Source organism: Homo sapiens, chromosome 14 (genome assembly GCF_000001405.40).
Source record: "Homo sapiens chromosome 14, GRCh38.p14 Primary Assembly".
NCBI classification, from domain to species: Eukaryota; Metazoa; Chordata; class Mammalia; order Primates; family Hominidae; genus Homo; species Homo sapiens.
The window spans coordinates 29,016,846-29,039,259 of NC_000014.9; the positions used below are offsets into that span (position 1 = coordinate 29,016,846).

Here is a 22,414-nt window from a genome sequence, read left to right on the forward strand (position 1 = left end):
AAGTAGGCATAGCCTTCACTTCAAGATAAGCCTTCAAGGAAGAAGCAGCCGGGTAGAAGGCCGACTGTGTTGCCTGTTGAAAGACAGGTTCTTGATATGAGTGCAACAGTTTCTAGCCACTGTGGCCTTGAAAAGTGTTTTTCCTTTGGATGTAGCTTCCTTATGTATATATTGGGACATTTGGATTAGCTCATAATCTTTAAACTGACTTCAAGCCCTGATATTCTGCTATTAGATGAAATAATATGCAGAAAAAAAAAACCTGTGAAAATGTGTGGTAAAAGGTAAGGTAATGATGAAGAGGACAACTGAATTTAGCTGCTGGGTGTTCTCATGGAAGAGGTAGCTTTTAACATATGGTATTATAGAATCACTGGTGTGCTTTGTTGCACAAGAAGAATTTCAAAGTCCCACAAAATGTCTACACATAAGATTTAACAAATTCTGAAATTTTATCTTTGAATTAAGAAAAAGTCAGTTTTTTAAACATATGCATACACTGATGAAGAGGCTTTTTTGAGAGACAATTTTTGCCTGGGTATAGATGGAGAGAGTATGCACACAGTTTGAATGAGATGGAAGAAGAATGAGAGTTTTTGGAGGAAATAAAATGGCTGAAAAATTAGATTTATATATATATATATACACATATATGTGTATATATATGTATATGTGTATATACGTGTATATACGTATATACGTGTATATATACGTGTATGTGTATATATGTATATGTGTATATATACGTATATGTATATATACATGTATATGTATATGTCTGTATATATGTATGTATGTCTACATACATATGTGTGTATATATGTATATACATATGTGTGTATATATACATATATACATATATACATGTGTGTATATATACATATATACATGTGTGTATATATACATATATACGTGTGTGTATATATACATATATACGTGTGTGTATATATACATATATACGTGTGTGTATATATACATATATACGTGTGTGTATATACATGTGTGTATATATACATGTGTGTATATATACATGTGTGTATATATACGTATATACATGTGTGTATATATACGTATATACGTGTGTATATATACGTATATACGTGTGTATATATACGTATATACATGTGTGTATATATACCTATATACATGTGTGTATATATACGTATATACGTACATGTGTGTATATATACGTATATACGTACATGTGTGTATATATACGTATATACGTACATGTGTGTATATATACGTATATACGTACATGTGTGTATATATACGTATATACGTACATGTGTGTATATATACGTATATACGTACATGTGTGTATATATACGTATATACGTACATGTGTGTATATACGTATATACGTATATGTATATACACTACATACATATATACATATATGTATATATGTATACATGTATGTATATATGTATATATACATATATGTATACACATGTATACACACAATGTGCACACATGCATACACATATATGTGTACATACACATGTATACACACGTATACACACATGTATACACACATATGTATACACACATATACGTATATGTATATATGTATACACACATGTATACAGATATGTATACATACATATATACGTATGTGTGTGTATATATATACATGTATATGTGTGTATGTATATGTGTGTATGTATATACATGTATATGTGTGTGTATATATATGAAAGAAGGTGCCAATCCAGGGTTTTGGGTTGAGTGCTTTGGGATACGCCACAATATAGGAATATGAGGTATGATGAGCAAGTGCTGGTCTCTAGAGTCTCAGAATTAACTGAAACCTAATTATTATATGATCTTAGGCCTGACTGTGATTGGAAACACTAGGATCTTCGATCGAGTTATTCTATGTAAATTTAACAAAATAAAGCTTCTAAGAAGGAACTGCACTAAAGATTTGATGGGTCATGAGATGAGGTGGTATAATTAATACATTCACCCAGGTGCATTGACTTCAGTGTGGGATTTCTTTCCTTCATCAACCACATTTATTCAATTAGCAAATCCCTTTTCTTCAAAATTGACCTTAATTCTCTCCTTAATTCTCTCTCTCTCTATGTTCCTCTATGTACAGGGCTACCTTAATGAGCAGCCAGGATGCCATCATCTCCGACCTGAATGACAATAACCTCCAAACCAGCCTTTGTATACTCCTTCCTGCTGCTCTGCAGTCCACTTCCACAGACCAGCCAACTGAATCTCCTTATAGGTAAAGCCCTGTCACACCTCTCCATTTTAAAATTTCCTATCAGACTTAGAATTCTAACTAAATTTGTTTCTGTGGCCAATCCTGTCTCTAATATCAGATTTCAATTTCCTGATCATTCAACATTTTATCAGACACATCGACCTCTGCCATTTGTCAAATACTAGATTCTTCTCTGCCCAAGAGTGTCTTCTTATGTAGGTATCTGCCCAAAACATCCTTTGCTGTTCTCCGTATGGTGGGCTACTTCTCACCTTCTAGGAAATATTGTGCTTTAAGCCATCAAATAATCTATTATTAGAAAGGATTTGAACTCACCATCCAACATGTCTTGAGTAAAAGGATAGACAACTATTTAATTCCAAATTTCCTTAGGCATATTCTGTTATTTATTTGGTTATCTTTGAAGTATAAGTCCAATATTTTCCTTTCTATGCACTCATTTCACTCATGAAAACTATAAATCAACAATGTTTTTGCGCTGTGTATTCATATGTACTGAGACTGCCATTTTCTCAAAGTACTCAGTGTATAAAAGCCAGGAATGCATACAAACTATTTAACAAGGAAAGAGGCTATTATGATTTTCAATCAACTGGCTGGATCCTTTGTTCTCTAAACACCTTTAAGTGACTTTTCTAAGAAAATTTTCCCACCCAAATTAGGGTAAGAGCTATGAATGTATAAAACAGGGAATGGGCATGGCAGAAGGAACCAGATTTACGTTGGTTTCACAGAAAGCCTTTCTGAGTGACATTTAAGCTTAGACCTAAAGTTTGAGAGGGAGTCAGCTAAGAAATAAGAAAAGGGAAGAGCATTTCAGACAGAGAAGAGCATGCCTAAAGATATTGAGGGAAGGAGTCTGGTATTTCCTAGGAGCTGAATGAGGAGGTGTGGGTGAAAAGCAGCAAACATAAGGGGTGGAGGAGACAGGGCTAGTAGATGAGAATAGGCAGGAGATAGATCTTTCAGTACTTGAGAGGACATGTTAGGAGACTTGGAGTTTATTTTAGCTGCCCTGGTTAGCCACTGGAAGTGTTAGGCAGGGAGTGACACGATCCTATTTGCTTTATAAGAATCTCACTATATTTACCCATATTCTACACAGATAAAAATATGTAAATTGATTTGCTCTGATCTTTCATCATGATTTACATGTTAAAGATTTCTGTGTTAGATATCAATTACTTCTGAAAACTAAAATTTCTTCTTTAATATTTAGTGAAGATCTTTGAGTGAAAGCAATACATGTAAACAGCTAGGGAAAATAAGGAAGAAAGTTACATTGTCACACTCAACATTTTAGACAAAACCATCTATGCTATCATTGTAGCACCTAAACAAGTCTAGACAGTTTCTATGTATTTCCAGATTTCTGTTTTTTGTTAATGTTTTAATATAATCATTTTCCTGTATTTAATAATTCTTCTTTTAACTAACACACTGCACAGCAATTTATTATATGGTTAGGTTATACATTACTGGGCAGTTAGGTTGTTTCTTTTTAAATTCTTTTGATTAAAAACATTTGGTGAGTAGTTTATTTATATATAGATATTTGACTATATTTCTAATTATTTTATTGGCTTAGATTCTCAGAAGTGGAATTATTGGGTTAAATACCACAGATGCTTTTAAAGACTTTGTTACGCTTGTGTTTGGGCATGCTTGTCATCCTATCCCAATACATGCACTGAACATTACATCTATTTCAAACCTTTAAAATTAGAAAGGTAGCTTTTGGCGTCTTCTAGAGGTTTTTTTATTGTTGTTTTAATTTTTATTTCTTCATTACCTTTGGTTTAAAAATTTTGTTTGTTAGTGATTTATACTACTTCTTTTCTAAATTATTCATGTCCTTTGAATATTCCTGTAAGGGGACTTATTAACATTTTGTTTGTTGATTTGTAAGTTCGTTATAAATATTTTCAGGTTCTTCTTTGGCTTGTTAATTTTGCTTGTAGGTTTTTGTGATTTGCAGATATATATTTTATATTTGAATGGAATCAGATCTAGAATTCTCCTTTATGAACATTGCTGTAAAGTCTAGAAAGTTTTTCTCCATCAAAATATTCAATGAGTTTTCATATCTATTTTCTTAGTTTTTTTGAACTATACAATTTAGACATAATCTTAGAATAATGTGTGATGTGATGATCAAAAATAAACATCTCAAGCAATTTTTTATTCAACAGATTCATAATGGCCATCAGCACAAAGATGTTTTATCTGCAGTCAACCAGTCATGTTTCATGATGGCATCAAAATGTGAGTACATTTTGTCTATGGGTTCCTGGAAATATGGTACTCTGGTGACCCCATAAAGAGCCAGTGTTTATTCTATAGGTTAGCACATATTCCCTTGGCAAAGACATCCACACAGAAGTGAGGTAGCAAGATCTCAAAGTGCAAAAGATAATGAAAGAACAAGACTTGTAGAACACAGCCTTGGATAATACTTAACAGGAGTGGATCAAAATATGAGGTCAATAAAAGATATTTAAAAAAGATTAGCAAGGAGAATGAAAATCAAGAGAATATGTTGTCATTATACAAAGGGAGAAATAAGAGCATGTAATCAACAGAGCCAAGTTAATGGTCATGGATGGTGCGCTTATCATATGATTAAAGAAAACAGCATCTGCCTTCATGGTGAAATATGCTTAAAAAGTGATTACATTTTTATTTTAAAAGGTTATATTTCATGTCTTCTTAAATAAAATCTTCTTATATAAAATATTTAACCTGGCTTTCAATATTGGGAAGAATTAGTGTGGGCGGAAGGAAGTTAAGTGGTGTTCTAAGGGAAAGATGGTGTATCCAAATGTGTACGTATACCCAGAATAGAGAATAGAATGAACACAGAACTAAACATGTTCTGTCTGTGGACTATAATTTTAATTTCAAACCCCCTTGAAAGGTCCATGAAAGAGAGACGTGCAGTGCGGACTTCAAATATATGACATGTGAACATTTATACATAAATATGTATTCATTTATTAGGACAATAAAGAATTTTATTTCTTTCTTTTTTCATAAATTATACTTTAAGTTCTGGGATACATGTGCAGAATGTGCAGGTTTGTTACATAGGTACACATGTGCCATGGTGGTTTGCTGCACCCATCAACCAGTCATCTATATCAGGTATTTCTCCTAATGCCATCCCTCCCCTTGCCCTTGACGCCCCCTGACAGGCCTTAGTGTGTGATGTTCCCCTCCCTGTGCCCATGTATTCACATTGTTCAACTCCCACTTATGAGTCAGAGCATGCGCTGTTCAGTTTTCTGTTCCTGTGTTAGTTTGCTGAGAATGATGGTTTCCAGTTTCATCCATATCCCTGCAAAGGACATGAACTCATTCTTTTATTTTTATGGCTGCATAGTATTCCATGGTGTATATGTGGCACATTTGCTTTATCCAGTCTGTCATTCATGGGCATTTGGGTTGGTTCCAAGTCTTTGCTATTGTAAATAGTGTTGCAGTAAATGTACATGTGCATGTGTCTTTATAGTAGAATAATTTATAATCCTCTGGGTATATACTCAGTAACGGGATTGCTGGGTCAAATGGTATTTCTGGTTCTAGATCCTCGAGGAATCACCACACTGTCTTCCTCAATGGATGAACTAATTTACACTCCCATCAACAGTGTAAAAGCGTTCCTGTTTCTCCACATATTCTCCAGCATCTGTTGTTTCGTGACTTTTTTTTTTTGCTTAATCTTTGTAATTTTTCAATTTGAAATTTCTTTTTTTATTATTATACTTTAAGTTCTAGGGTATATGTGCACAATGTGCAGGTTTGTTACATATGTATACATGTACCATGTTGGTGTGCTGCACCCATTAACTCGTCATTTACATAAGGTATATCTTCTAATGCTATCACTCCCCCCTCCCCCCACCCCACAACAGGCCCTGGTGTGTGATGCTTCCCATCCTGTGTACAAGTGTTCTCATTGTTCATTTCCCACCTACAAGTGAGAACATGCAGTGTTTGGTTTTCTGTCCTTGCGATAGTTTGCTCAGAAGGATGGTTTCCAGCTTCATCCATGTCCCTACAAAGGACATGAACTCATCCTTTTTAATGGCTGCATAGTATTCCATGGTGTATATGTGCCACATTTTCTTAATCCAGTCTATCATTGATGGAAATTTGGGTTGGTTCCAAGTCTTTGCTATTGTGAACATTGCCACAATAAATATATGTGTGCATGTGTCTTTATAGCAGCGTGATTTATAGTCCTTTGGGTATATACCCAGTATTGGGATGGCTGGGTCAAATGGTATTTCTAGTTCTAGATCCTTGAGGAATTTCCACACTGTCTTCCACAATGGTTGAACTAGTGTAAAAGTGTTCCTATTTCTCCACATCCTCTCCAGCACCTGTTGTTTCCTGACTTTAATAATCGCCATTCTAACTGGTGCAAGATGGTATCTCATTGTGGTTTTGATTTGCATTTCTCTGATGGCCAGTGATAATGAGCATTTTTTCATGTGTCTGTTGTCTGCATAAATGTCTTCTTTTGAGGAGTGTCTGTTCATATCCTTTTCCCACTTTTTGATGGTGTTGTTTGTTTTTTTCTTGTAAATTTGTTTGAGTTCATTGTAGATTCTGGATATTAGCCCTTTGTAGATTGCAAAAATTTTCTCCCATTCTGTAGGTTGCCTGTTCACTCTGATGATAGTTTCTTTTGCTGTGCAGAAGCTCTTTAGTTTAATTAGATCCCATTTGTCAATTTTGGCTTTTGTTGCCATTGCTTTTTGTGTTTTAGACATGAAGTCCTTGCCCATGCCTGTGTCCTGAATGGTATTGCCCAGGTTTTCTTCTAGGGTTTTTATTGTTTTAGGTCTAATATTTAAGTCTTTAATCCATCTTGAATTAATTTTAGTATAAGGTGTAAGGGAGGGATCCAGTTTCAGCTTTCTACATATGGCTAGCCAGTTTTCCCAGCACCATTCATTAAATAGGGAACCCTTTCCCCATTCCTTGTTTTTTGTCAGTTTCCTGACTTTTTAATGATCACCATTCTAAATGGCATGAGATGGTATCTCATTGTGGTTTTGATTTGCATTTCTCTAATGACCAGTGATGATGAGCTTTTTTTCATATGTTTGTTGGCTGCATAAATGTTTTCTTTTGAAAAGTATCTGTTTATAAACTTTGGCCATTTTTTGAGGGAGTCGTTTTTTTTTTCTTGTAAATTTGTTTATGTTCCTTGTAGATTCTTGATATTAGCCGTTTGTCAGATGTATACATTGCACAAGTTTTTTTCCCATTCTGTAAGTTGCCTGTTCACTCTGATGATAGATTCTTTTGCTATGCAGAAGCTCTTTAGTTGAATTACATCCCATTTGTCAATTTTGGCTTTTGTTGCAATTGCTATTGGTGTTTAGGTCATGAAATCTTTGGCCATGCCTATGTCCTGAATGGTATTGCCTAGGTTTTCACCTAGGGTTTTTATAGTTTTAGGTCTTAGGTTTAAATCTTTAATCCATCTTGAGTTAATTTTTGTATAAAGTGTAAGGAAGGGGTCCAGTTTCAGTTCTCTGCATATGGCTAGACAATTTTCCCAACATAATTTATTAAACAGGGAATCCTTCCCCCATTGTGTGGGAATCCATTCCCACACGAGCAACGTGTGGGAATCCATTCCCACACAAGCAATGTGTGGTGTTATTTCTGAGGCCTCTGTTCTGTTCCAATGGTGTATATATCTGTTTTGTTACGAGTACCATGCTGTTTTGGTTACTGTAGCCTTGTAGTATAGTTTGAAGTCAGGTAGCGTGATGCCTCCAGCTTTGTTCCTTTTAAGTAGGATTGTCTTGACAATATGGGCTCTGTTGTGGTTCCATATGAAATTTAAAGTAGTTTTTTCTAATTCTGTGAAGAAAGCCAATGGTAACTTGATGGGAATAGCATTGAATCTATAAATTACTTTGGGCATGATGGCCATTTTCATAATATTGATTCTTCCTATCCATGAGCATTTTCCATTTGTTTGTGTCCTCTCTTACTTACTTCCTTCAGCAGTGGTTTGTAGTTCTCCTTCATGAGGTCCTCCACATCCCTTGTAAGTTGTATTCCTAGGTATTTTATTCTGTTTGTAGCAATTGTGAATGGGTGTTTGCTCATGAGTTGGCTCTCTATTATTGGTGTATAGGAATGCTTGTGATTTTCGCACATTGATTTTGTATCCTGAGACTTTGCTGAGGTTGCTTATCAGCTTAAGGAGTTTTTGAGCTGAGATGATGGTGTTTTCTAAATATACAATCATGTCATCTGCAAACAGAGACAATTTGACCTCCTCTCTTCCTATTTGAATACACTTTATTTCTTCTTGCCTGATTGCCCTGGCCAGAAATTCCAATACTATGTTTAATAGGAGTGGTGAGAGATGGCATCCTTGTCTTGTGCTGGTTTTAAAAGGGATTACTTCCAGCTTTTGTCCATTGATATTCCATCAATATCTAGTTTATTGGGTGTTTTTAGCATGAAGGGGTGTTCAATTTTATTGAAGGTCTTTTCTGCATCTATTGAGATAATCATGTGGTTTTTGTCCTAGGTTCTGTTTGTGTGACAGGATTACATTTATTGATTTGCATATATTGAACCAGCCTTGCATCCCTGGGAAGAAGCTGTCTTTATCGTGGTGGATAAGCTTTTTGTTATGCTGCTGGATTTGGTTTTCCAGTATTTTCTTGAGGATTTTTGCATCGATCTTCATCAGGGATATTGGCCTGAAATTTTCTTTTTTTGTTGTGTCTTTGCCAGGTTTTGGTATCAAGATGATGCTGGCCTCATAAAATGAATTAGGGAGGAGTCCTTCTTTTTATATATTTTTGGAAAGTTTCAGAAGGAATGGTACCAGGTCCTCTTTGTACCTGTGGTAGAATTTGGCTGTGAATCTGTCTCATCCTGGGTTTTTTTTTTTTATTGGTAGGCTATTAATGGCTTCCTCAATTTCAGAACCCATTATTGGTCTATTCAAGGATTCGACCTCTCCTGATTTATTCTTGGGAGGTTGTATGTGCCCAGAAATTTATCAATTTCTTCTGTTTTTCTAGTTTATTTGGGTAGAGGTATTTATAGTATTATTTGCTGGTAGTTTGTAGTTCTGTGGTTTCAGTGGTGATCTCTCCTTTATCATTTCTTACTGTGTCTATTTGATTCTTCTCTCTTTTCTTCTTTGTTAATCTGGCTAGTGGTCTATCTTGTTAATCTTTTCAAAAAACCAGCTCCTGGATTCATTGATTTTTTGAAGGGCTTTCATGTCTCTATCTCTTTCCATTCTGCTCTGATCTTAGTTATTTCTTGTCTTCTGCTAACTTTTGAATTTGTTTGCTCTTGCTTCTTTAGTTCTTTTAATTGTGATGTTAGGGTGTCAATTTTATATATTTCCCACTTTCTTTTGTGGGCAGTTAGTGCTATAAATTTCCCTCTAAACACTGTTTTAGCTGTGTCCCAGAGATTCTGGTATGTTGTGTCTTTGTTTTCATTGGATGCGAAGAAGTTACTTTTTTTCTGCCTCAATTTCATTATTTACCCAGTAGTCATGCAGGAGCAGGTTGTTCAATTTCCATGTAGTTGTGGGGTTTTGAGTGAGTTTCTTAATCCTGAGTTCTAATTTGATTGCACTGTGATTTGAGAGATTGTTTGTTATGATTTCTGTTCTTTCGCATTTGCTGAGGAGTGTTTTACTTCCAATTATGTGGTCAATTTTAGAATAAGTGCTATGTGGTACTGAGAAGAATGTATTTTATGTTAATTTGGGGTGGAGAGTTCTGTAGTTGTCTATTAGTTCTGCTTAGTCCAGAGCTGAGTTCAAGACCTGAATATCCTTGTTAATTTTCTGTCTCATTGATCTGTCTAATATTGACAGTGGGGTGTTAAAGTCTCCCACTATTATTGTGTGGGAGCCTAAGTCTCTTTGTAGGTCTCTAAGAACTTGCTTTATGAATCTAGGTGCTCCTGTATTGGGTGCATATATATTTAGAACAGTCAGCACTTCTTGTTGCATTGATCCCTTCACCATTATGTAATGCCCTTCTTTGTCTTTTTTGATCTTTGTTGTTTTAAAGTCTGTTTTATCAGAGAGTAGGATTGCAACCCCTGCCTTCCTTTTTTCTTTCCATTTGCTTTGTAAATATTCCTGCATCCCTTTATTTTTAGCCTATGTGTGTCTTTACACATGAGATGGGTCTCCTGAATACAGCACACCTATGGGTCTTGACTGTTTAATCTGATTTGCCAGTCTCTGTCTTTTAATTGGGCATTTAGCCCATTCACATTTAAGTTTAATATTGTTATGTGTGAATTTGATCCTGTCATTATGATGTTCACTGGTTATTTTGCCCGTTAGTTGATGCAGTTCCTTCATAGTGTCAATGGTCTTTACATTTTGATTTGTTTTTGCAGTGGCTGGTACCAGTTTTTCCTTTCCATATTTAGGGCTTCCTTCAGGAGCTCTCATAAGACAGGTCTGGTGGTCACAAAATCCCTCAGCATTTGCCTCTCTGTAAAGGATTTTATTTCTCCTCCACTTATAAAGCTTAGTTTGGCTGGATATAAAATTCTGGGTTGAAAATTCTTTTCTTTAAAAATGTTGAATATTCGCCTCCACTTTCTTCTGGCTAGTAGGGTTTCTTCAGAGAGATTGCTGCTAACATTTGATTGGCTTCCCTTTGTTGGTAACCCGACCTTTCTTACTGGCTGCCCTTAACATTTTTTACTTCATTTCAACCTTGGTGAATCTGATGATTATGTGTCTTGGGGTTGCTCTTCTCAAAAAATATCTTTGTGGTCTTCTCTTTATTTCCTGAATTTGGATGTTGACCTGTATTGCTAGGTTGGGGAAGTTCTGCTGTGTAATTTCCTGAAGAGTGTTTTCCAACTTGGTTCCATTCTCCCCATCACTTTCAGGCACACCAATCAAATGTAGGTTTGGTCTTTTCACATAGTCCCCTATTTCTTGGAGGCTTTGTTTGTTCCTTTTCATTCTTTTTTCTCTAATCTTGTCTTCATGCTTGATTTCATTAAGTTGATCTTCAATCTCTGATGTCCTTTTTCCACTTGATCTATTCGGCTATTGATACTTGTGTATGCTTCACAAAGTTCTCCTCCTGTGTTTTTCAGCTCCATCAGGTAATTTAGGCTCTTCTGTAAACTGGTTACTCTTGTTAGCAATTCCTCTAACCTTTTATCAAGGTTCTTAGCTTCCTTGCATTTGGTTAGAACTTGCTCCTTTAGCTCAGAGGAGTTTATTACCCATCTTCTAAATAAAGCCTACTTCTGTCAATTTGTCAAACTCATTCTCCAACCAGTTTTGTCCCTTGCTGGCGAGGAGCTGTGATCCTTTGCAGGAGAAGAGGCATTCTGGGTTTTGGCATTTTCAGCCTTTTTGCACTGGTTTTTCCTCATCTTCCTTGGATTTATTTACCTTTGGTCTTTGCTGTTGGTGACCTTTGGATGAAGTTTTTGCTTGGTCATTTTTTTTAAAGTTGATTCTATTGCTTTCTGTTTGTTAGTTTCCCTTCTAACATTCAGGCCCCTCTTCTGCAGGTGTGCTGGAGTTTGCTGGGGGTCCACTCTAGATCCTGTTTGCCTGAGTATCACCAGCGGACACTGTAGAACAGCAAAGATTGCTGCCTGCTCCTTCCTCTGGAAGCTTCGTCCCAGAGGGGCACCTGCAAGATGCCAACCAGAGCTCTCCTGTATGAGTTGTCTGTTGACCCCTGCTGGGAGGTGTCTCCCTTTCAGGAGGCTCAGGGGTCAGGGACCCACTTGAGGAGGCAGTCTGTCCCTTAGCAGAGCTTAAATGTTGTGCTGGAAGATCTGCTTCTGTCTTCAGAGCCAGCAGGCAGGAATATTTAAGTCCACTGAAGCTGTGCCCACAGCAGCCCCTTCCCCCAGGTCCCAGGGAGATGATGGGAGTTTTATCTATAACCTCCTAACTGGGACTGCTGCCTTTCTTTCAGAGATGCCCTACCCAGAGAGGAGGAATCTAGAGAGAGTCTGCCTAATTTGGCTTTGCTGCGCTGCAATGGGCTCCCTCCAGTCCAAAGTTCCTGGAGGCTTTGTTTACATTGTGAGGGAAAAACCGCTTACTCAAGCCTCAGTAATGGCAGACGCCCCTCCCCCCATCAAGCTCCAATGTCCCAGGTCAACTTCAGACTGTTGTGCTGGCAGCGAGAATTTCAAGTCAGTGGATCTTAGCTTGCTTGGCTCTGTGGGGTTGGAATCTGCTTAACAAGACCACTTGGCTACCTGGCTTCAGCCCCCTTTCCAGGGGAGTGAGTGGTTCTGTCTCACTTGCGTTCCAGGCACCACACAATTGGAAATGTAGAAATTACCTGCCTTCTGCGTTGGTCTCCCTGGGCGCTGCAGACTGGGGCTGTTCCTCTTCAGCCATCTTGCAGGGAATCACAATAAAGAATTTTTAAAAGGAAGAGAAAAGCAATCATCACTATTTTGGTTTTGTTTTGTTTTAGGAGTAACTGACTACTGAACAGTACTGCATGTTTCTGAGGTTCCTCTGTTATTCCTGTAGTTCACTACCTCTGCATCCTCCCCAGGACAAGAAATTCATTTTCCTTATTGTACTGTGTTATGCCAAGAATATTACTATTGTTCGGTGAATATAAAATAATCATTATAGCAACAATTTTTTTGGCGTCCTAAATAAGGCTGATCCATGGCAACGGTACTATGCAAAGAAAAGAATAAAGTCAAAACACTTGTAAAACCTTTTACTTATTGGTATCAGACATCTGTTATTTTATTAATCCTCACAATGTCTTTTAAAGGTTTTGTTATTTGTATCTACAATCCGGGGAGAAGAAACTGAAGTACAGAGGGGCAAAACGATTGTTACCTAGTTGAATGACAAATTAGATGAGAATCCAATATCCACAAGGTGTTAGGCCCTGGAAACATTAATCTCATGTATTATTAGCTATTCTCACATACATATAAGCGATCTTTCAAATGAAAAGGAAACATAACCAAGAATAAAAATACATTTTTTTTTGTTTTCAAAGAGCTATCAATTTCAATTAAAAACCCTGACATGAAATGTCTTAATGTACCTGTTACTCAGTACCAAAAAAAAGTAAAGAAAAATTTAGTAGTCTAAGAATTAGAACAAGAGATAAGATGGTCCTGGGATGATTCCAGTACGTTTTGTTTATCTACAGGAGATTATCTGCTTTGCGAATATTCATGACTAATTTTGAATCTTAGAGCTGTATTGCCCCACTGCCTGGTTAGCTTTGAGGCCCTTTCCTCCCACTACCCAGCTGGTGTGTGCTCAGGGAAGACAAACTCTTTTAATACCAATCCAAGCAAAACACAATTAGGAAAGCAAATGTGTTGGGAAAATAACAATATCATGGATTACAAAGCCAAATAAGAAAGATTTGAATGTCACCTACCCTTTGAAGTATTGAACTATTGTTTCTACGTGATGCTTAGGCAATTGAATTGGGCCAGTCATATCACAAAGAGGTCTTTAATCCGTAAGAGGGTCCCCCTCCTTGTTTGTTTTGCTCAGAATAATTGAATTGGAGAGTTTGGCTCTGTCAGAGAAGTAGCCACAAGCCTGATTCTTTTGCAATGACCTGCAGATAATTCCAGAAAAAAATTGAACCATCTACCAGGAAAAGCTATGGCCATAACTTAAAAATCACATTTCTCTTCCTTGTTGAAAATACCCAGATCTCAAGATGATCTTATAACTACATCTGAAAGGCTGTTGAGCCCCCATCCTCATCAGAGTTCATCTCTTCCAATGCATGCACATGTGCAGTCCATCTGCCAGGCATGAAGTAAATATAAAATTGACCTTCTTCAGAAAAGAAGGAAGACCCAGGTTTGAATTATTTTCTTCATGTTTACATAAACTTTTGAAAGGCAAGATGATTAAATAGCACTTCCTGGATAGGATAGAGATATATGTTTGTAGTTTCCATTGGTTAGCTAGTATACATAAATATCATTCTTAAAAAGAAATCAAATTCTAACGCATTCATGAATATCATGCCCATTTCCATATGACAGAAAGCTTTCAGCAGAGTTGCATCATCCAAATGATTCAGCTCCTTACAAATTAATGATTTGCACATACAGGTGTTTGGATAAAATACAAATTTCCAGAAGGTTTCCATTATGCAAGAGTACCAATATTAAAAATGCTCTGTAGAAATTAGGAAAACAAACACGCTCATTGCTAGAAATTAAACTCTGAACCCTATTGTAATTGTATTAATCATGAAATTTACCACATTATTTTTGTAAATAAATTGATTCAGATGAATACTTAAAATTTCATCAATAATTTTAGAATATATTTAAATAAGTAATCACTCTTTATATTACAGCTTTTCTTTTGCAAGCGAGATACACACTATCACTTAGTGTTCATATTTAAGTTAATGTTTATTTACAAATTACAAGTGACTGTCACAAGTAGAGTTTTATTAAATGAGTCTTGTAATGGAAAGGATTTGAATTAAAGCATGTACTGTACTTCTTTATATAGTTTTTTCTTCATTTGCAACAACAAGCCTAGAAATTAACATAATTTATTTTTAAGAAATTGATGTTCTTCTGCAGAATAATAACCATTCTCATTTTGACCTATTGAACTAGCTTTCTATTTACAAAAAATAATTAAATGTTGGTCAGAATGTGGCATCTTCTGAGGTTTTCTAATCACCAGCATTATCAGTCCAGGCCATTTCTTTGCCAACCCTACATTAATATACTTAACTAATGAGTTATGAACCTTTAAGAGCCTTCTCCTTCTGCACTAAACTTTCCTAAGAATTACTCCAAATGCTTTCTCATCTTTTCATCTGTGTACCTTTTTCTTGTTCTATCTCAATCTTTTGTTTTTTATTTATTTATTTTTTTGGTTGCTCAAGGGAACTATCTGGCATTTTAAAAAATTCAAATTAATGATAAAAATTATATCAATTTTTATCCCACCAAGTTTATGGAGGTATGCCCACTTTATTTACATTAATTAGAAATCTTCAGTTTTAATTGTAATTTTTAATAGGAAAATGTTCTTTCCTGCTAAATGTTCTACAAAATTTCACGTCATCTTTAACAGCATTGAAGCACAGAATGTAAAAATGGAAAGAACAGAAGATATCAAATTTAACCCTGCTTATTTATATATGTGTCAACTGAGGCCCAGAGAAATGAAGAACTATGCATAAAGTCAAACAGCTAATTAGTATTAGACTGGTATGCTATACAAATATAGATTTAAAAAAGTATTTCTTATATTGTTAGCCATTAAAGTCATTTGTATATATACAGGCATATGTGCATATAATTGTTTCATTAACTTTGCCAATCAAAAATGACTATTGTCTCTATGTGATATTGTATCCTGAATGTATCCTGGAACAGAAAGAGGCAATTAATGGAAAAAGTGGTGAAATTTGAATGAAATCTGGTGGTTAGTTAATAGTTATGCATCAAGGTTCATTTCTTAGTTTTGGCAACTATACTATGGTAATGTAAGGTGTTAACATTTGGGAAAAGTGGGTTAAAATATACAGGAACTCTTTGTAATATTTTGCAATTTCTCTGGAAAGCTAAAATTATTTCAAAGTAAAAATTATATTAAAATACTCACTTATAATTCAGGATTATACATAAGGCCATTTACTTTAGATACCTAAAAAAAGAAAAAGATTCAGATTCTCTTTATGCACAAACTACCCTTTCATTGTAAGCTGCAATTCTGTTATGTGCCTTACAGATAGCATAAGTTGAGTTCCTCAGGAAAAAGACTCAGAACAGAGATCTATCTGCAGGAGGATTACTGGGGAGAGCTCTTGGGAATAACATATACTAGGTAGAAAGGAAAATAGAGTTTGCCAAGGGAAGAGTTAAAATGTAGTAAAGGTGTAACAGAGGCCCCAACACATCTGATGGGGATAGCAGTTCAAAGATGTTCCAAACAGAGGCAAAAAGAGGCAAGGCCTTTGTACCCACCATGCCCACAAGTCTTTGGGAGTAGGCTATCCCAGGGAAGGGGCAGACTTTGAACAGGCAGCTCTCTTCAGTCGAGGGCAAATCCTGGGGAGAGACTCAGCTGTGAGCTCTCAGCAGCAACTCTCCTGCAGCTGGAGGAGTGAGCACCTTAGTTTTAAAGAAGGGATTTATCTATTGTGCCACAGCATCCACTGAAGTGAAGGTAACTCTTGAGCACAATGATTGGTCATAGGATGAATTTAAAATTAGACAAATGTGGCAGTTTCACTAGGCACAGGTAGTCAAAGTTACATGAGTTTTACTGAAATTTTTCTTGTTCCAAGAAGTTTTCCTCTTGAATTTTTCTTCATGTTTGTACCTGTAATTATCTATATATTTCATAACATCTATTCCAAGATGTTAATTATTTGGGTTGAAAAGGAAACAGAAAAGGATTTTTTTTAAGTGTACTTTTTTGGTTATTTAAAGGATGTGATTTTAGATGTGGGAAATATACACAGGAAGTCCACTGAGTTTGCTTATCTGAATGTATAATAAATTCTTACACCACCCCTATCTTCCACATTTGTCTAAGTGAAATTCATCTTCATTTTCATTAAGCATGGCTAAGTTATGTTGTAACAAATCAACCCCAATATCTCGGTGCCTTACCACATCCAACCTTACATGTCTAATAAGAGCTAGCAATGGTGCACAGAGGGCCCTATTATCTTGTAGTCCTGGTCTGGAACAGAGAGACTGTAAAACCACTGGAGGAGAGGCAGGGAGAAATGGAGGCAACACGTCTCTGAAACCAGAAGTGACTCTTCTGCTCATAGTCTAGTGTCTAAAACATGTCACATAGTTTCAACCTAACTGCAGGGGAAGCTAGGAAATGTAAAGGAATACATGGAGAACCAACAGACTCTGTCAAAACTGGCTAGTGAACCTTCTGGAATATTCTCATAGATCGCTCCAACCCAGCAAAGACAAGACATAATTCGTATTTCAATCTTCTTTATTTCAATACTGGCTAGAGTCTTAGCCATCACAGAAGCTTCTCTGAGCAGAAGAATAAGGTCAATCTTTGTGCCATATATATTTTTATATTAGCTATATTGGTTAGTGAAGCAACAACTTGAACATTCAGACTGTTAACATTTTTAAGGACACACATAAAAATGCTTTGGTGAGTTACATAATTATGGGAAGACAGAAATTTCATTTTAAAAATCTTTTGAATCTATTATGGAAATTAGCTTTACAATTATAAAATCCTAGACTTAAAATATCTAGGCAAGGATATTTTATGTGCTGGTTGCTTTATAAAGATCCACAATGTATTAGGGCAAATAGGACATACAAAAATCATCAGCAAATATCCAAACAGAACATCAGTAAAGAGCATTAGAGGGTGAGGCTTTTATACAGAGGCATGTATTTCCTTGCCATATGGTACTGGTTTTTCAGTTAAAATATTTTCCTTTCTGAGAAAAAAAAGCCTCTCTCTGTTAATGGTAGAGTAAACCTGTTTTTTTTTTTTTTTTAATTAGAATTACCATTTGTCATGAATACTGGTCACAGGAACATGAGTCTTCTTATTAAAGATGTGTAAAGTTATAGTTAAAATTCTGGGCCCTAAAATCACACCACCTGAATAAAGTTACTGGCTCTGTCAGTTACTGTTTCTGGGCAATCAATTAACCTCTCTGTGGCTGAGTTTCTTCATCTATAAAACAGACATAATAGTTTTATCTACCTAACAGTGTTGCTGCAAGAACAAAACAGTATTTGTAAAATGTTTATTTCAATGCCTGGCACATAGTAAACTCTGGATTTGCTGTTGTTATAGCTACTGTTCAACCACTTCTAAAAAACAACAAATTAGTTTTATAACAGAGGAAGCCTTTATAATGAACAATTTCAGTCCAATGGAAGATTTATTTTAAAAAATGGCACCAATATACATTTTTGAACGCTAAAATAAGTTTTATGAACATTACTCATTTTTTTCCTTTTCTTGTACTTTGTCTTTTCCAACCAGAAAATCATTTCAATGGGAAAATATGTTGGCATGTTTGTTTTATTAGCTAATACATTTTCTCATGTGATATCAGCTCACGGCAAAAGTTAAGGAATAAAAAAAGAAAAGATCTTTCTTCTTTCCACCTACTGAATTCTGCCTGAACCTCTCCCACTCCCATACACACACCAACACGCCCACTGTTCCACAGCAATATACTGCTTGGCATTCTGGCAGGGAACAGAAAGACAAAGCATCATGGGAAGAAACGGTTAGAAAAAAATAACTGAAAGATGTGGAAATTTTTATGCTCAGAGGCTCTTGGCAGTCAATGAGAAATAGGAGATTGGAATGGAAACTATAAAGGGGTAACTCTAATTTCTTTCCATTCCTCTTTGTGTCTTGCAGTATTCTCTTCTAGCAGTGGAAGGAGGAGACACGATCAAATCATTTATAGCTTTAGGATCTTCCAGTTGTGCTTCCCTTTACCTGATATCCATAGATACGTTTTCTTGATTCTAAAAATGTATAAGCAAGAAGAACCCCACTTCTAATTGCTACTGAGCATTGCCCAGATCTTAGCACCTAAAGTTATAAGCAATCCAGAACACATGTTATTGGGTGAACTGTGTCCCCCAAAATTTCAGATGTGGAAGCCCTAAACCCCAGTACCTAGAATGTGACTGTATTTGGAGATAAAGGTCTTAAAGGAGGTGATGAAGTTAAAATGAGGCCATTAGGGTGAGAATCAATACAATCTGATTGGTGTCCTTGTAAGAAGAGGAAATTCGGACAGAGAGAGAGGGATACAGGAATGCAGGCGCACAAGAGAAGGACCATGCGAGGAGACAGCAAGGAGGCAGCCATCTACAAACCAAGGAGAGAGCCCTCAGAGGAAACCAAACCTTGAATTTGAACTTCTGCCTCCAGAACTGTGGAAAAAATACATTTTTTGTTGTTTAAGCCACCCAGTCTGTGGTATTTTATTATGGGGGCTCTAGCAAACTAATACAACGTATTTTTTTTTGATTCAGTAAAATCAAATTATTGGCTTCTCCTTGCACACAATTGGCTCAGTCTTGCCAATATGTGTACATATTAGTTCTTATTATGTCCACCAATCTCTCCTTCAAAATGTAGCTTAACATCTACTTTCTCCAGGGACCGTCTCCTACTTATTCCATTCCAATTGATTACTCTCATAACATCTGAGTCTTAAGAAAGTCATGTGTTTGTATATCTGTGTTACTTCAGAAATACTATCATTTGTTGGGGTTGTTGCTGTGCTGTGTGTTACTGGCTATTGATCAGGCTTCCTAAAGTCAGGAAATATTCTTCTCCCTGATGGCATGATTCTCCTCTTTCTATTTCAATGGTTATGAAAAAAGGCAAAATTCACTCTTTGCCAGACACTCTTATAATACATTATATGCCTTGTCTCATTTAACATTAGTCTTTGTGTTAAAGAAAATAAACTACATAAAATGTATATACTTTATTGGTCTACTTCAGAGAAAACATTCCCACTCTGAAACTTTGGGGTGGTGATAAATAATTACAGTTATGTTATTTAAACTCTATCACACATTTATCCATACTAATTTTTAGTTTTGGAAGAAGTGATGTGGAAATGGTATTCAAATTAACATTCTTTGCTCCTTTTCTTGTACTCCCCGGAGCTAAGTTTATTAATATCAAAGATTTCTATTCATTCTATGTAAATTTACTAAAGTCTGTTAAATCTCCTGATTGCTGACATTTTAGAGTTTTATACACTTTTTGTCTCTCTTTTGACAAATCACACACATATCTTCAGGGACTCTTATTACAGAGCTAAGTACATTGTCTGACAAAAGCTGAAGAATTTTAATAGATAAATGACAAATTTTAACAAAGAGTTCTAGTGAGTTAATTTCTGAAATCGTTTACTGTATGTATAGAAAACTGGCAGAAGTAATTTGATGAAGTGCAGGTTTTCTATACATAATAAAAGAGAAAAGTATTAGTAGATATATTTGATAAGATCCATCTATTTGATGGATAATCATAAAAATAACCTACCAATACAAATATGGCTTCTAGTTTTTTTTTTCCTCTGGAATAAAAAAAAGTCACCACTTATCAATATCTATAATCTCCATCATTTAGATTGCTGCCTAAGTAGCATTTAGAATGAATCCAGAAGGTCAAGTTCAGATGAGAAACAGAAGCACTTCTACTACTGAAAAATCAAGGACACCTTGGACTCCAAAAATAAAAAAAAAAAGCTTTATAATTTAAATATACACCTATGAGTAGTTGCATTTTTCCTTGAATACTTAGTTTACATTGTGGTACATGTGTGGGGGTGCATGTGAAGGAGTGTGTTTGATCAGATTACTGCATGATCTGTTCTCTGCAGGTGCTGGAAAAGGTCAGAGAAAATCATCATCATAAAGTGAAGTGATTTTCTTCTTTATGAGCTCCTGATGTAAACAGACTGATGAGCACAACACAATCCTTACTCACCCACATGACATCATACACAATCACAGCTAAATGTTTCTATCTGTCAAAGCCTGAAGAGTGACTACCAGATTGTTGCCTGATTGGTATGTAACCCAAATGGTATTTCCTTGGTATCTAGTTGGTAGGGTATATTTTGTAAGATTTCTGGGCCCTGTTGGGGTGGGTCAAAGACAGTGAGCACTGAGCCAAGGTTAGAGTTTACCAGCTCAGAAAATGAGCAGGCTGTGTTGGTAATGGAGCAGCAACATTATTGAACATTTATTGACTGAAGAACAAGGAAATTAAAAAATGAATTTGAAACAGACATTTCTTATTTTAAAATCAGAAAATACATATCACATTCTTTGGAAAGCAAGGGTTTGTAAGCATGTGGCACTTAATCTTTGTTCATAATTTATGCCCATGTTCAAGACATTTTTAAAATCCATTTTTTACAGACACTAATTTTGCTGCCAGGCTCCATTTACTGCCAGTTAAGCAGCAGCTTTTAGTATATGGAGGCCTCACTGAAGATTCACCTTCTGAGTTTTCCTACCCAAGACATTTAAGTCAGAATCTGGACCCAATCTGCCACATCAGAGCTAGCAGCAAGTGAAGAGGACTCAAAGATTCTGCTGGTATAAACATACTCTTTGAGGGAGCAGCCAAATAGTTTGGAAGTTTAGATTTCTTTCTTTTTGGAAAAAAGAAACAACCGTGGTTAAATAACATTGCAGATTATCTTGAAGAGGAGCTTTATATACGATCCGGGACAGATATATAATTACTTTTAATTAAAAATGAAATTATAAAATTTATTAAAAAGTCTGATTAGAAGGGAATGGGAGATAAATTTCCTAATAGCGTAGGACAATACTGTCTTCTAATTAGACCTTAATTTCATGTAATTACTTACTACATACAAGAGCTATCAGCAGTAGAACACACTCCTGTTTTTAAGACATTATGGAAAAATAAGATACAAAATGTCAGCAATTGAGTTACATAGTCCACTTCAAGCATGTGCCAAAGTTTTGTTTTGCTGTCAAATATCACTATTTAACTAAACACTAAAATATAGCCAAGCAAACAAAAAGTGCAATGGCACACATCATACATGAATATGATTGGATTAAAGCACTATGCATATTATTTGCTTTCAAAAACAAAGCAAACAAGCGTACATTTTTTCTTGTGTATTCATGGCCAAAAAAGAGCTTATCCAACATATGTGAAGGTACTTTGCATTATCATATCATAATCTATGGTTATATCAATTTGTTGGGTATCTTTCTTACAATTCTTAATGGTAGCTTTCTCCATTCATAGATTTTTTTTCACCTTTAGCAAGCTGCACCAATTTCTTAGAGTCAAAGAATGGTTGCCAGTGGTCTGAACTTTTGATTGATCTGAGCTGTGTTTAGCTTTAATCTATCTCTGCACATGACTAGCTAAAGAGATGTTCTATCAGATTCAGTCCTTGTAGCTTCAAGTCTTTCTCTATATGCATCTAGAGTGAGAAAAGTTTTCAAATGCAAGTAGGGTCAGGATTTAACCCTTATTTGGATTTTATTGTGACTGTAGAGGGAGGACTGACAATTTCCACAGAGGAAGGGGTCAAGACCCAGAGGAAAACACAGAGGATTTAGGTGAGGTTGTGACTCTTGACTTGA

General features: G+C 35.8%; 2 long non-coding RNA genes across 10 annotated transcripts in view; one reads left to right on the forward strand and one right to left on the reverse strand.

Moving 5' to 3' along the window:
* Positions 1-22,414, forward strand: part of LOC107984685 (uncharacterized) — a 216,619-nt gene that overhangs the window by 45,557 nt on the left and 148,648 nt on the right. For 5 of the 8 annotated variants that reach the window (XR_007064101.1, XR_001750697.1, XR_001750694.2 and 2 more), the window contains 3 exons: positions 2,108-2,242; positions 4,435-4,507; positions 20,656-20,845. This is a non-coding gene — a long non-coding RNA (uncharacterized LOC107984685). Of the gene's footprint in view, positions 1-2,107; positions 2,243-4,434; positions 4,508-18,333; positions 18,623-20,655; positions 20,846-22,414 lie in introns of those variants that run through there. The other 3 variants (XR_001750700.2, XR_007064099.1, XR_007064100.1) reach the window with 2 other exon arrangements.
* Positions 1-22,414, reverse strand: part of LINC02326 (long intergenic non-protein coding RNA 2326) — an 89,407-nt gene that overhangs the window by 41,197 nt on the left and 25,796 nt on the right. The window contains exons 3-4 of one of the 2 annotated variants that reach the window (NR_184205.1): positions 15,891-15,932; positions 12,595-12,653 (exon numbers count right to left, since the gene is read on the reverse strand). The exons of the other annotated variant lie outside the window; for it this stretch is intronic. This is a non-coding gene — a long non-coding RNA (long intergenic non-protein coding RNA 2326). The remainder of the gene's footprint in view (positions 1-12,594; positions 12,654-15,890; positions 15,933-22,414) is intronic. 2 annotated transcript variants of the gene reach the window in all.